At 44.4% G+C, this 14,172-nt stretch overlaps 1 protein-coding gene across 2 annotated transcripts in view, besides 1 other annotated feature; it reads left to right on the top strand.

The window, feature by feature from the left end:
- Window positions 1-14,172, top strand: part of RORA (RAR related orphan receptor A) — a 741,019-nt gene that overhangs the window by 290,917 nt on the left and 435,930 nt on the right. The gene's annotated exons all lie outside the window — the stretch shown is intronic.
- Window positions 5,242-6,441: an enhancer, noted in NCBI's record as "CDK7 strongly-dependent group 2 enhancer chr15:61224144-61225343 (GRCh37/hg19 assembly coordinates)". NCBI's record gives its function as "activates an origin of replication core promoter dependent on BRD2, BRD4, P300/CBP, MED14 and CDK7 cofactors, with strong dependence on CDK7, by STARR-seq in HCT116 cells {active_cell/tissue: HCT116}" and the evidence as "EXISTENCE:reporter gene assay evidence [ECO:0000049][PMID:35650434]".

Here is a 14,172-nt window from a genome sequence, read left to right as displayed (position 1 = left end):
ACTTAATTGTCATGGTAACAATGATCATCTTTATTAATTATGGGAAATGGAATGATAGGGTGAAGATAGACCAGTATTTCTCAAATTTTTCTTCATTATTGCCTCCTACAGACCTGTTTTAGACATTGTTTTTTCTAATCACTCTCCCCATGAGATTGTAATACCACAGATACAAATACACTATGTGTCTGTTTATGTACGATGTGTATATCTGTACTTTATATATAAAAACAGCAACTTTTTGGCCCTCAAAAATCAATTTTCACTCCCTTTAGGGCAACATTAGCTTGTGTACACAAGCTGGAAAAACCTATCTTGAACCTAAAAACCTAGGTTCAAATTCTACTTCTGCTAATTTTCGTTCTCTGAGTCTCTCCTTCCTCTTCCTCACCAGCAATTGCAGATAATATGATCCACCTCATGAGGTTCCTGGCACATCATAAGCAAAAAAAGAAAAGAAATATTAGCTATTATCACTGATATTGTGCTCTGTATTAACCTGTGTTTTCACATATAGAATCTTCATTGGTCCTAACTGCGAGCCTCTGAGGTAGGCAAGTTTATGTAACATTATCACAAATATCAGCATCCCCATTTGACTGATAATATTTCAGATGGCCAGAGTGGCTGGGTGATTTGCTCAAGGTCACACAAACTGTAACAGTAGTTGGAGCTGAAACGTGAACCAGGTGTTCTGGTTCAGAACTCCCTCCACTGCACCTTACTGTCTTTGGTGGTAGCAGACACTACTGGGAAGACCCAAGTTGGAGTCTGGGAAACTGGTGGAATCACCCATGAGAATGAGCTCTAAGGACCAATCATACATTTTTCTGCCCCCAGTGCATATGAAACAGAATTGTGCAGGCTTTGAACTGAATGATCTCACCCAGTTTCAGGAAATCTGTGATAATATTTTCCTGTGCTGTTTGGTAACTCTTGGCATAATGAGGCAGGATTTTCCCAAGGTTGGAAGACCTTGGCTTTCCAACTAGAAGATGGTGAGTGCTTTCTCACCAAGACAAAAGCCTTATGAAATGAGCCAGAATAATCACCCAGACAGTAAATACTCTTAAACAACAACCATACTCAAGCTCAGTGCTATCTAGAAGAATTCAGAGAGTGCCTACACTGGTCCTAAAGTTCTCACTGAGCTCCATGAAAGTTTCTGTGTCAGAGGGGGCAGGTTGAGTTTTGGTGTCAGACTTTTGGGTTCTAACTTTGGCTTTGCCACTTGCCAGCTGTATGCCTCGGTTTCCTCATCCATTGAATGGGTTGATAATAATGATATATTCCTCATAAAATTGTGAGGATGAAATGAGATAATCCAACATAGAGCACTCCATATGGTGCCTAGCACACATTAAGTAAATGTTTGCAGTTGTTATCATTGGATTAAAAAAAAATATAAGACCTATACCCTTTCCTTCACAGAGCATAAGATGTAATACTCCTCTTATCTAATGACCATCCCTTACATCAGCACAGTGCTTTATCCTTCTTGAAGTGGTTTGATTTGAATGGTTTTACAGACAGTCCTCAACGACTGGACATTTCTACTATTTTCTCCTCTGCCCCTAACAAAATGTCTGTCTTACACATTTCATCAATAATAACTGCTAGTTTTTCTAACTAGCTAAGAGGTACTTAATTCTCAGCACACAGGAAAAGATGAAGTATTGAGCAGAAGGGCTTGTTTCTTGACTGCTGCCACTGTATGGTCACAGGCAGTGCCCGTCACTCTGGCAGAACCATCCTTGCTGGTGACTGCACACAGTTGCTCTCAGGGGTGGATAGAGCACTGTGATCCCCGTTTGGGGGCTAGGTGATGGTGACGGTGATGGAGAGGATGCCGAGGCAAACATTTTCACTTCTGTAGCTACTGTGGACAAAGAAGGTGGACACTTTTGAGCAGAGGCTGAAGGTGTGACAGGTGTGCAAGGGTGCCCTCTGTTTCTCCATCCAGGCTGTTTCTGGAAACGTGCCCTGTGCTGCTAATTACACCAGCTCTCTCCATCAGAGCCACTTCACAGGTTGCCTAGCACAAGGCTAAGCTGAAAACTAGGTAAAAGCATCCTACTTTGTTCAATCTAAGAGATGGCTGCTGTGAGTAGATAGACAGAAGACTGTAAGGAGCAAGGCAAGTCATTTTGTTCCTGGAGATGGGTCTTCCTTTTACTAAGAAGGGCTTCCCCCAGGGCCATAGATACCTCTGGGCCATCAGATAGGATTGGGTCCTAGCATCATTGTTTTTCTGCTGGAACTTTGCACAGGGACTCTGATGGTTTCGTTACTATGCAGACCTTCCCATGGGTAATATTACCATGATGAGCCTTCAGGCTGAGTAACTGTAGGGCCGGCCACATGGGGAAACCCTTGACTTCAACTGGTGATGAATTCAACAATGTCAGTCTCAGTTTGCCCAACTCAAAGAGATTTGGGCTCAAACTTATTTTGGGATCATTGTCTTCTGTCTGCAGTAAACAAGAATGTTCTCTAAAAAGGGCAAAGCTAACTTTTGGGAAGATACACGTCTTAGGAATGACTTGTCTGCTGCGGTCTCAAAGGGTCACATTTTGCTGATCATTTGTGCAGCATCTGGCTGTTGAAGTCCACCTCCTCCAAAGCAATGAAGGATGAAGCTGCCAATTTGAGTCTGATGTTTTATTTATCTGGACTGGTAACTTTATGTATGGTGTGTTTCTCTGTTTGGGCCTCAAGGCCGGTTAAGCAAAAGGCGGGAAACATAAATAAGTAATGGATGGAGAGGGCTGTCCATTTATAGACTCTCGACAATGACCTGATTTTCTGTTCCAGTGTAAGCATTAGTGTTGCATTAGAGTAATATGTAGCCATAGATGTTTTCACTGGTGTATTTGGTGGTGATAATCAGGAGAGACATATTCATGTTCTATTTTTATAATAAAAATTAAGAAACCTCAGGCCACACCAAGGGCCCTTACTGGCAGCATGGACACTGTGGGTTTGAACAGTCCATTTTCCTCAGCTTGTGTGGGATCACTGTGTTCTTTTCTGCTCTCCTCCAGTTTCTGGTTATTATTAAACAACCCTTTGTGAAGGATTAACTCTGGCTTTTCTCCCAGCGAGGAGATGTCTACACAAAGCCAGAATATCCAGCCAATTACAGGCAAATGGGTTATTTGGTGTAGTGCAGGAACAAATGACTGGTTGGCAAGCCAATTCTTCACTTTTTGATGGTTTCCTTTGGCATGGAAATAGTCCTCTGTAGTACACAGTGTAAATGCTTGTGAGCATCTTTTTATTCATTCATTCAGAAAATATTTCCTGAGGGCCCCCTGTGGGATTCATTATTTCTAAAATGGGGATAATAATAGTACCTACTGCATAGAATTATGTGGATTAAATGAGCTTATAATGTGTAGAGGTTTTAGAACAGTGCTTGGCACACAGTTAACGGCTTAGACAACATAAGCTTGGCTGTGGAGTTTGTATTTTATAGGCAAGGAACAGGCAGTGCAGCCAATGGCATAGGTGGATGTGTGCTTTAGAAAGGTGCTTTCTGTGGGAAAGTAGAGGACAGATTGTAATGGAGCAGAGCCTGGAGGCAGGGAGACAGTCATACCTCTTGTCCAGCCAGTGATGGCTTGAGGGCTTTCATTTGCCTTTCTTTGGAGTAGCCAATACAGTGGTTCTCAAAGTGTGGCTCCCAGACAGGCAACATCAGCATCACCTGGAAATTTGTTAGAAATGCAAATTCTTGAGCCAGTGTGATGACTCATTGACTCATACCTGTAATCCCAGCAACTCAGGAGGCTGAAGCAAGAGGACTGCTTGAGGCCAGTAGTTCAAGACCAGACCAGCCTGGGTCACATAGTGAGACCTCATATCAGAAAAAAACAAACAAACAAACAACAACAACAACAACAACAACAACAACAAACTCTTGGGCCTTATCCCAGAGCTACTAAGTCAAATACTCTGGAGTTATGGCCCAGCAATCTGTGTTTTTGTTTTTTTTTCTTTTTACAAGCCCTCCAGAGGACTCTGACCCTTGCTAAAGTTTGAGAATACTGGTCTAGTCTCTTGAAGGAAAGTGGAAAAGAGAACTTTAGCAATGTCTTCCTTTCTGCTCCCCCATTTGGCCTCCACTGGGCCAGCATAGGGCAGGTGCCAAGCTTTGGGAAAGGTCTCCCTGCATGAGGCAGGCAGCAGTCTCCTTGTTAGCTAGTCACACGGAAGCAGGAGACTTGTTAATGTAGATCAGGACTGCCTGTTGAGCACAGCAAAACCAAACCTCAAATCTCCTCCTGGCTTACTGCCAAGAGGGCACTGTGACCCACCCCTATTGATGCATATGGTGTGGAGCTGGAGCTGGGGCTATGCTAAGTAGGTGTTTCTTTACCGAACGACTGTCAGCTGCAAGACTCCAATGCGCTTCTCATCACTTTGAGAAATGAGGGAGCCCAGCCTCTCTGGGCCCTTCAAAAGCAGATGTTGCATCTGGTTTGTGGGAGTCTGTGTGCACACACCCAAAGACATTTCATGGCCAACAGAATGGATCGCACCAGTGCCTCTGCTTTTTCCCATATGAAAAGCTTGTGTCTGGGCTGGTTTTTATTACTGATGTGCAGCCACCTCTGGTATGAAATACCACAGCTGTAGATAATTTTAGAACATCCATCTAGATTTTCTAAATTCATTCATTTGTTCATTAGTACAGATGTGTATACCCTGGCATGATGGGAAATTGAAAGGGGAATAAGACATCCTCCCCCACCCCTCTTCCTTTAGGAGTATGCCATCCAGGAGGAGAGAGAAGTCATCCACACAAATGCCTGCGATTCAGAATAATGCGTTCTATGTCAATAGGAAGGTACCAACAAACTGTGATGTGAGAGATCAAGGGGGCTTCACAAGAGAAGAGCTGCGGAAGCTGCTTGGAGGAGGAGGTCGCATTTGATCTGAGCCTGGAAGCGTAGGCAAAATTTCCAGAGGCAAGGAGAGGGCATCTCAAGAAAAGGGCACTGCAAGGGCACAGGGAATGGGAAATGCACAGTACATTTAGGGAGAGTGAGTGGTCCAATTTGCTGAGAACGTAGGCTACAGGGAGAATAATAGAGGAAGCTGAGGCTTAAAAGATAGATTGGGATTTGAATACCAGGCTAAGAAGTCTGGACATGATTCCATAGGCAGTGGGAGCCAGTGGAGAATTTGGGTTGGAAGATTAGTATGATCATCATGGCACTAGAGGACAATTGGGCTGATGATGAAATTGGGATGGGTAATACTTGAGGCCCACAGTAGGAGACTTGCTCAGGGTCACAGCCCTGGGAAGCAGCAGAATCAATACTAGAACTAAGCATTCTGTGTCTGCAAGTTCATGACTGTGGGGGGCAACCTGGAAACTCCTGGGTAAGGAAGAGGAGTAAGTTTTTAAGTGAAAGGTTGTCTGACGTAGGAAGCCATCAACACTCTTCAGGGATTGAGGGGGCAAGAGAGAGCCAGGCCACTGAGAGAATTCAGCTGCTTTTCTGTTCCACACTCCTTGGTTCCTTATCAGAAAGAGCATTCATCCCTTTGCAGACAAACACCAGAGGTCCTCAGTGTCACATGCCAGCCAAGCTCAGAGCATCTCAACAATGCCAGGGAGTCTTGGCATGGGGCTGGGCCATGGGCTTGGTTCTGACTCAGAGAAGTCGGAACCACCTACTGAGTCATTTGCAGGAGCTGTGGTTTCCTGGGAGGTTTCCCAACCAGTTACCCACCCCGCCAAATCGCTGGTAGCTTGCAAGATCTGAAGGAGCCGCAATTCACAGTGCCAGGGCTTCAGGCAAACTCAAGCTGCATATCTCGAGCTGTTGCACAGAAATTATTTCCTTGCACTACATGGAGAAACTTGGCCCTTGGTAGTAACACGTAAACAAATGAAACTTTTTAACATACCTGTTACTTATTTGATCTTAGGGAGATCTCAGTTTCCTTACCTATGAATGAGCTACTATGAGTAAGCAGCTGTGATATCTGAAGGAATTAATGGTTTTTAATGGTTTCTCTTTAGGACGGTCCAGAATGACCCAGCCCTAATCGTGGCTGAGTTTACAAGACACTGCCTTGGAATCTGGTCCAAGGCAGCTGCTCATGGCATCTCCATTTCTTCTTTGAGAAGCTTTACTGCTTCTCAAGCAACCCCACCTTCTCAGGTCCCTCAGATTTTCCCCTCATTAGTAATCTTGGACATTTCAAATACCATGAATTCTTTCTACTCCAAAGGATTGGTTTTCAAGGTGAATTCAAAGACATTGATACTGCTTGTTATTCCAAATAGAAGTTGCCCATCTCCCTCCAGTATAGGATCTTCATTTAAAAAAAAAAACTCTTGATTCAATATTTTTCTAGATATTGCTTTGAGAATTCAGGATTAGAATTGGTACCATAATCAATTCTAGACCCTAATTTCTGGCATTTCATTATGTTTAGCTGCAGTGCCAAGTTGAGGCAATGGCTTAACATGGCTCCCTGACATGGTGTTAATATTGAAGGAATCAATATTTAGCTGGAGAAATGAATATTTAGCTGGAGAACTCAGCCAACTGTTTTGAGTCTGAGCTATCAGCCTCATAAGGCAGAAGAGCTTAGGGAGAAGGCTGAGGTTTTTGCCAGACCATGTCCCATCTCTTCCTGCCCTTACATTTGCTTATGAGGTCCTCACAGTGGCTGGTGGCCTATAAGGGGGCCCTTCTGTAGAACTCTGTGTGTGCCAGAAGAGGCAGCTTTGGCCCTGTGCAAGACACTCTGGAGCATTAAGTCTTGGCATCAGCCATGCAACTCTTGATACCAGTGCCTGTTTTCTAGAGGCAAAATAAGGACACTTCATGAGAAGAAAGGAGTAATCAAATGTCGGAGACTTGAAAGACTGCAGGAGTCTGGGAGATTGGCAGGGCTTAGCTCTGGAAGCTGAAGCCAGGCCTCTTCTCTCTTCAGCTATTCCTCCTGCAGCTATGAGTTGGGATTCTGCTTCCCCATGGAGCCAGAGGAGTGAGTAAGGAAGAGTGCTTGGGCAGGGAGGGGCTGTTCGTGGGTGGCAGGGCATCCAGTGGAGGCCTGTAGGCTGCCCTTCACTTCTGGGACAGGGGCTTTGTGCCTCTGGGCAGTGAACAGCCTACCTCCCAATGTGCCTCCGTGCCTCCTACTCCTGTAAGCCTGCCTGGCCCCACTTATGGACCTGGAGCCTATCTGCTGCTCTAGGCAGACTCACCTTCTCTTTCCCAGGTGGAATTTTCTCACAGACAGGGAGTTCTTCCCCAGACCCTGGACCAGTCACTCTTCCATGTGGTCTTCCCCCTCTTCCCCCTGCCATTTAAAATACACATTTAAGGGGTAAGTCCCTCTCATAACACTGTAGAAAGGGAACACCTACACCCTTTTACCCTCAGAGAACAGACCACTTTCTGTTTTTCAAGGGCCACTTTTATCCTTAAGCAAGACGTAAGAGGCCTCATATAGGCAGATGTGAGGCCATTTCATTTTAGAACATACTGGTTTTGCCCCACCAGGGTCGGTCTCTTGGCTCAGAGATAAATGATTGGGAATCTCTGCTCACGGACCTCAAAGTCTACAGGTGAGCAGATGAGCAGGTGATGACAGTCACCACATACAAAGTGTAACCACAGAGGTGGGTCCCATCTCAACAGGGCAGACAGTGGGAAACCTACCTTGGACACTTCAAGGAAGGAATTCAGAAGTCTAACTTCCTTCAGTGAATTGGGCATAATGAGCTACAAGGCTGTTGCATTAATTCCAAAGTGGGAAGGGAATGGCTGGTGTCCGGAAGTGTTCACATCTGCTAGGGGAGGCTGAGGACTCCTGGCACTTTGCATCTATAGGTGTTTTCTACAGCTTCATAGTGGGCCACCTGGTGTTGGGTCACTTGTATATTTGTCTTCCCTCCCTGTATTGGGAGACCATATGTAATTCTCAAAGATGCCTCCCACCGTCCCACATGGAAGGCACTTAAGAAATTGGATCTTTCTGTCTCTCGGCTTATATAGACCTTGAGAATGGAGGTGGGAGGATATGCTCCTCCCTCTTCCTGTTTAGAAATGACTAAATAGGGCACACTCCAGGGACTTGGAGTATTTCTTAGCTGGAAAATAGGGTAGAGTAGGAGGAGACTGGCATATCAGGTCTTATGTTGAGCTTTTTCGTCTGTATCTACTATGCAGAATGATGGGCTAGAGCTCTACCATCTAAAATGGTAGCCGCTAGCCACATGGCTATATAAATTTCAATAAATTAAAATTAAATACTATTAAGAAATTCCATTCCTCTCTCACACTAGCCAAATTTCAAGGGCCCAACAGCCACAAGAGACTAGTGGCTGCAGTATTAAGTAACACAAATAGAGAGCATTTCCATCATTGCAGAAAGTTCAGAGGCATGCACCAGAGACTCTAAGCAGCACGTGTTGATCCAAAATGTGCTCCATAAACCATATGCGTCTGAAGGCAAGAACAGAGGCGAGCTTGTCAAAATACACATTCCTGGGCTCCTCCCTAGACTTCCCAGGTCCGTATCTCTGGGGGCTGGAGGGGAGGCCTGGGAATCAGTATTTTAGCAAGCACTCCCAGATGGCTATTATGCAAACTCACACTTCAGGATGAGCACTCCAAGGGAAGCCAGAAGTTGAAGAGCGAAGCGGGAAAACCTCCTGATATGGCGATTCTGGGCATATCAGATGTCTTGTAGCACTTTCTACTCCACTGTAAGATTTCCCAACCAAACATTTTCAAGAGAATGCGACTGGAGCCTCCAGACTGACAGCTAAGTGCGCATCTCAGTAAAGTCCTGGCTGTTCTTCCATCAAGTAGTAAAAACTGAAGAAAGTGGCTGTCCTAGCATTATCTCCTTCTCGCCTTTTGCAGAACCAGGAGGATGGAAATAACCTCGTTGCTCCCCTTGAGTGTGTTTGAATCACAAGTACCTTCCCTCTAACATAAATTTATTTCCCGCTGCCTTCCTCTCAACAAAGACCAGCCAGTGATGAATACCAGACTTCATAGCTTATTTGTCAAAGCAGCACACCTGTGAGGATTCCTGTGAAAGATAAATTTTGATAGGGGGAGGGAGGGCTGGAGGAGGAGGGACCTGGCCAGGAATAAATCTTAACATGTTGCACCAGACTGTGAATGAGCGCTTGCCTCACAAAGCTTGCCGTCTTGACAAGGTATGATAAATTACCCTCTTTGTTGACACCTTCATTGGGTTATTTATGGCTCATTAATTGAACCAAAAAGGGGCCTTGTAGACCCAGCAGGGGCACCATACAATGCTCCTCCAATGGACCCAGCTCAAAGAAAAGAACAAAGGAGGGAAGAGTGGGAGCGGGGCACACAAGTGTGTCTGCTCCTTGGCTTGAGACACTCTTCACCAAACAATTCAAGATTAAAAAAAGAAGAAGAAGAAAGAAAGAAAAGAAAAAAACCCTTTGGAAGCTCAGGTAAACCTCTCTGGGGATGATTAGCTGTACACCTGGTGCCCCAGCCTGTATGCTGTCTGGCACCTTCCAGAGGAGCCTGTGCCTAGAGCTCTGTGCATTATTGCCAGCATTACTTTAGACTTGCCTGGAGAGTCAGCATGGCACAGTGGAAACCATCAGAAGCTCCCAGCACAGTCCTAACTCTCCCATGAACATGCTGTGGGACTTTAGGGCGGTCACTTTGTCTCTCTGAGCTTCAGATGCCTTCCTTGTGAAATGAGGGAGTCGAATTGGACAAACTCAGAGTCTTTTTCAGTTCTAAGGGGTATAAGAAAACGAAAAACAGCTTTTCTTTTCACTGCCCATTGTATTAGTTTAACCTCTCCACTTCTGATTATTACTTAGTCTATTCATTTGGCAAGTAGTGTTTACTGAGGTCCTACCATGTATTAGGTTCCAAGGGGAAGGCAGGCATACTGAGCGCGAATGCTTTTGTTGTTGGCTTCCACGAGCTTCCCGCCTAGAATGTTGGTTGTGTTTTCAGGAGCTGATTAGCACTTCCTGTTTTAGTTAATCCTTAAATTAAGTAGTTACAGGATAGTCCCTTGGAAGAAACCCTCATTTACTTGACAATAAAGGAACATGAAGTATTTCCAGCTGTTGTGTGTGAAAGATTATTTCTTCAGGGTGCCACTGTGGTCCATGAATATGTTGCAAAAGGCTCATGTGAGATGCAGGGGAGTCTGAATTTTGTCCTGGAGTCTATGAGGAACATTTAAAGGGATTTATTCAGGGAAAAGATATGGGCAGGGCAGTTCAGTGTTCCAGAGAGATTCTCTAGTGCCAGGGAATGTGACCTGGAGAAGATGGGAGGATGGGAGGAAAATCTTGCTTGATGACTGTTGCAGTAGTCCAAACAAGAGAAAGCACGGGCCCCAAACAAGGGCATGGCTGTGAGGAAGGTGAGGAGAAAACAGGGCTGGAAGACTGTGGTTCTAATCCAGACACTGTCAATAGCCAACTTGAATTATTTTCTCCAGAATGAGTATCCTGCTCTATAAAATGAGAACATCGGACTGAATGGTCTCAAAATCTGACGCTTGCATTCTGCAGGGATTAGGTTTTTCAGTGTTTTTTGTTTGTTTGTTTGTTTGTTTTGAGACAGAGTCTTCCTCTGTCACCCAGGCTGGAGTGCAGTGGTGTGATCTTGGCTCATTGCAACCTCCACCTCTCAGGTTCAAGTGATTCTCATGCCTCAGCCTTCCCAGTAGCTGGGATTACAGATGTGCACCACCACACCCAGCTAATTTTTTGTATTTTTAGTAGAGATGGGGTTTCACCATGTTGGCTAGGCTGGACTTGAACTCCTGACCTCAAGTGATCCACCCACCTCTACCTCCCAAAGTGCTGGGACTACAGGCATGAGCCACCACAGTCAGACGGTTTTCAGGTTTTTATGTTCCCCTGTAGTTAGAAGTAGGAAGGAAGAGGAAGCTGCAAAGACTATATTCGAAATTGAAAGAAGTGTTATTTAATAATGGTTGGAATGTTCATCAGCTACTTACTGCCAAGTATATGGCTGGGTCCTGGGAAGTGAACATTACAGATGACAGTAGGACACATCCTTTGCCTCCATTCCATATCGCATAGGATAGAGCTTCCTTAGGACTCTCACTTTGTAGAATCCCCATTTTGCTTCACGTATTGGTTACCTGGCAGCTAGTAGGGAACTGGTCCACATGTGTTGAGCACTTCCTATCTGGTCAGAGAGGTGGGAAGGATGTGTGTGACTAGCGTGCACCTGCTTAGAAATTCATTTCAACTGTTTGGAGAGATCTCCACTCTTTTTCCCTTCCAAGGCTTCCAATAAAATTATTTTTTATTTCAAAATGATAATAATTTTTTCCTGATATCAACAACACACTTATCATGAAGTGTTCCAACTGTAAAGAAAAATAGGAAGCACAGAGGAAAATTTACCCCAAATCTCAAGAGCCAGGTAGTAAATTAAAACTTCCATGAGGATCCTTCCAGTCATCTCTCTCTGTACAGTCTATCTGGATGTACTTACATACATGGATTAATTACATCATATAGACAGTTTTATTTAGTCAATGATATAGTAGCTTGTGGACATCTTTTGTGATATTTTTATGCGTCATGTTTATGATGCGGGATATTTCATTCATCAGTAAATCATAATGTATTCAGCTGATATGTAGTAATAGACATTTAGTTTGTTCCCAGCTTTTCTCTTATAAACGAGACTAAGGAGCATCCATGTGCATATATATTTGTGCATTTCTCAAATGATCTCCTAGAAATGAAGCTGCAGAGGCAAAGTATATGCACATTTTAAAGTTTGCAGCATATTATAGCCAAATACCCTCTCTGAGAAGATGTACCACTGTGCTTAAAATGTCATTCGATGTTCTGTTTCACTGGGAAGTCAATGCACCCAAGGTTGGGGTTGAGCAAGATGGGGGCTGGGATAACTCTATAATCTACCCAGTGACTCGGTCTCCAAGTACTGCTGAGTCCATGGGCCTGTTGGGGAGTGTGAGACTTTGGCAAGGGCTTATGGAAAGCTGTAGACAGCCAGGTGTCAGCTGATGCCAGGTCAGATAGGGTGCCTTCCAGGTTCTGCTGCAGGTGCCTTCCAGGTTATGCTCCAGGTTCTGTTCCAAATGTCATTGGATTGAGGGACTTTTGGCTTTCGAATAGCTGTGTGTCACTATATGCACAAGCTTATAAGAAATGCAGATATGGAGATGCCTCCAAAACCATAGATGTATACCTGTCATGAATGTTACCATCTCCAGGCCCTGATGCAATCTTTTCTGGCCCCTCATATAGCAGCCTTGTATCCTAGTTGTTCAAGAGCAGTTCTCATTCAATCTACTCTATCCTCCCACCTTCAGGGGTGCCTCCAATCATGTCAGACCATGCAGGCCAGATATGGCCTCAGCATTTTTGGTCACCATGTGATGTGTTAAGAGTTTAATTCCCACCAACCGTTGTGTTTCCACTCATCGTAAGCACAGAATTTCCACCCATTTATTCATCACCCATTCCTTCAACAGATACTTCAAAGTACCTGCATTATTACAGGCACTGTCCTGAGTACCAGCAGAACACAAAAATGGACAGAAACGTACAGGTTCGTGGCATCTGGGCAGGAAGGAATTCTGATAGTCCTTGGATTCCACACCCTCATGCTTCCAGTGAAGAAACGGAAGCCCAGAAAGGCAAAGTGCTCAGCCGCCAATGGCCGGTCTGATGATCATTCACTGTATCAGGCATGCAGTGCATTTCTGAGTGAGCTGTGGGGCTGCTGGGCCAAAGCTCCATGACAGCCCCGCTGGGGATTCCCTGACTCCCCTCTGAGGACAGCCAGTCCACAGGGGCGAGAGTCTTTACAACTGGGCCTACAGACAATGTATTGTTAGTACTGTGGGATCAGACAGGTGGAGGAGAAACAGAGTAGGGCTCTGTGGCCCCAAACAATATGTGTAACTCAACATCTCTTGGCTGGTCTTACTGGTCCAGCCTGTCTCCTTTCAGTTTGAATATGGGGACATTTCAAATATTCTCTTCGAAGCCAATCCCATTTAGAGAAGATAGATAGTCTGAAGGTGACAACTTCTGAGCTGGGAGAGGTTCCAGCACCAAGAAACTGACAACTTTCAAAAAATGCCATTGAGAGAGCAGTCTACACCTGTGGCTGCAGCAAGGGTCCGCCTGTCAGGATGTGATAAGGAGGCACTTCCTCAATTGTTAGAGTACCTTTATTTTATTTTATTTTATTTTATTTTATTTTATTTTATTTTATTTTATTAATTTATTTATTTTTGAGACAGAAGCTTGCTCTGTCACCCAGGCTGGAATGCAGTGACCCAATCTCAGCTCACTGCAACCTCTGCCTCCTGGGTTCAAGGGATTCTCTTGCTTCAGCCTCCCAAGTAGCTGGAACTACAGGCATGTGCCACCACGCACAGCTAATTTTTGTATTTTTAGTAGAGATGGGGTTTCACCACGTTGGCCAGGCTGGTCTCGAACTCCTGACCTCAAGTGATCTTCCCACCTCGGCCTCCCAAAGTGCTGGGATTACAGGCATGAGCCACTGTGCCTGGCCTGATTACCTTTAAATCCTTGGAAATGGTAATGTGTCCTATCAATAATCACTCCTCATATCTCTATGGTTGTTATAGTTCACAGTATTTCCACCACATGGCCTGGCTGCCTCCACGCACCGCCCTGTGGTTTAGTGCTTCACGACTTAATTTTCCTGTGTATTCGTGCTTTACTGATTAATGAGGAATCTGAGGATAGAAAGGGCCAGTGACTTATCCAAGGACAAGAATTTCTATTCCATTACAGATACAATAGAATTACATTAAATCGGATGAGCAGAAGTATGATTACAGGCACGTAAGAAATATATTCACTTATAAATATATGAAAAGATCTAGAAGGCTCTAAAATTTTAAAGGACTATAGTATGTGTAACTTTAGTTTTCTTCTTTGTTCAAATCTGTTTCTATATTTTTAGACTATAAGCGTATATTAGCGGCAGTGATACAATAAGAACATTTCTTAAAAGTAGAAGAGTACTCCTCTCAGTTGTGTGCTTAGTTTTAAATGAGTGAAAAAGTACTGAATAAATGTAACTCAACCCCTTCCTTCCGTTCTCCCAGCACCTATATTGGTCACATCTT

Source organism: Homo sapiens, chromosome 15 (genome assembly GCF_000001405.40).
Source record: "Homo sapiens chromosome 15, GRCh38.p14 Primary Assembly".
NCBI classification, from domain to species: Eukaryota; Metazoa; Chordata; class Mammalia; order Primates; family Hominidae; genus Homo; species Homo sapiens.
This window is presented reverse-complemented; position numbering and strand designations above follow the sequence as displayed.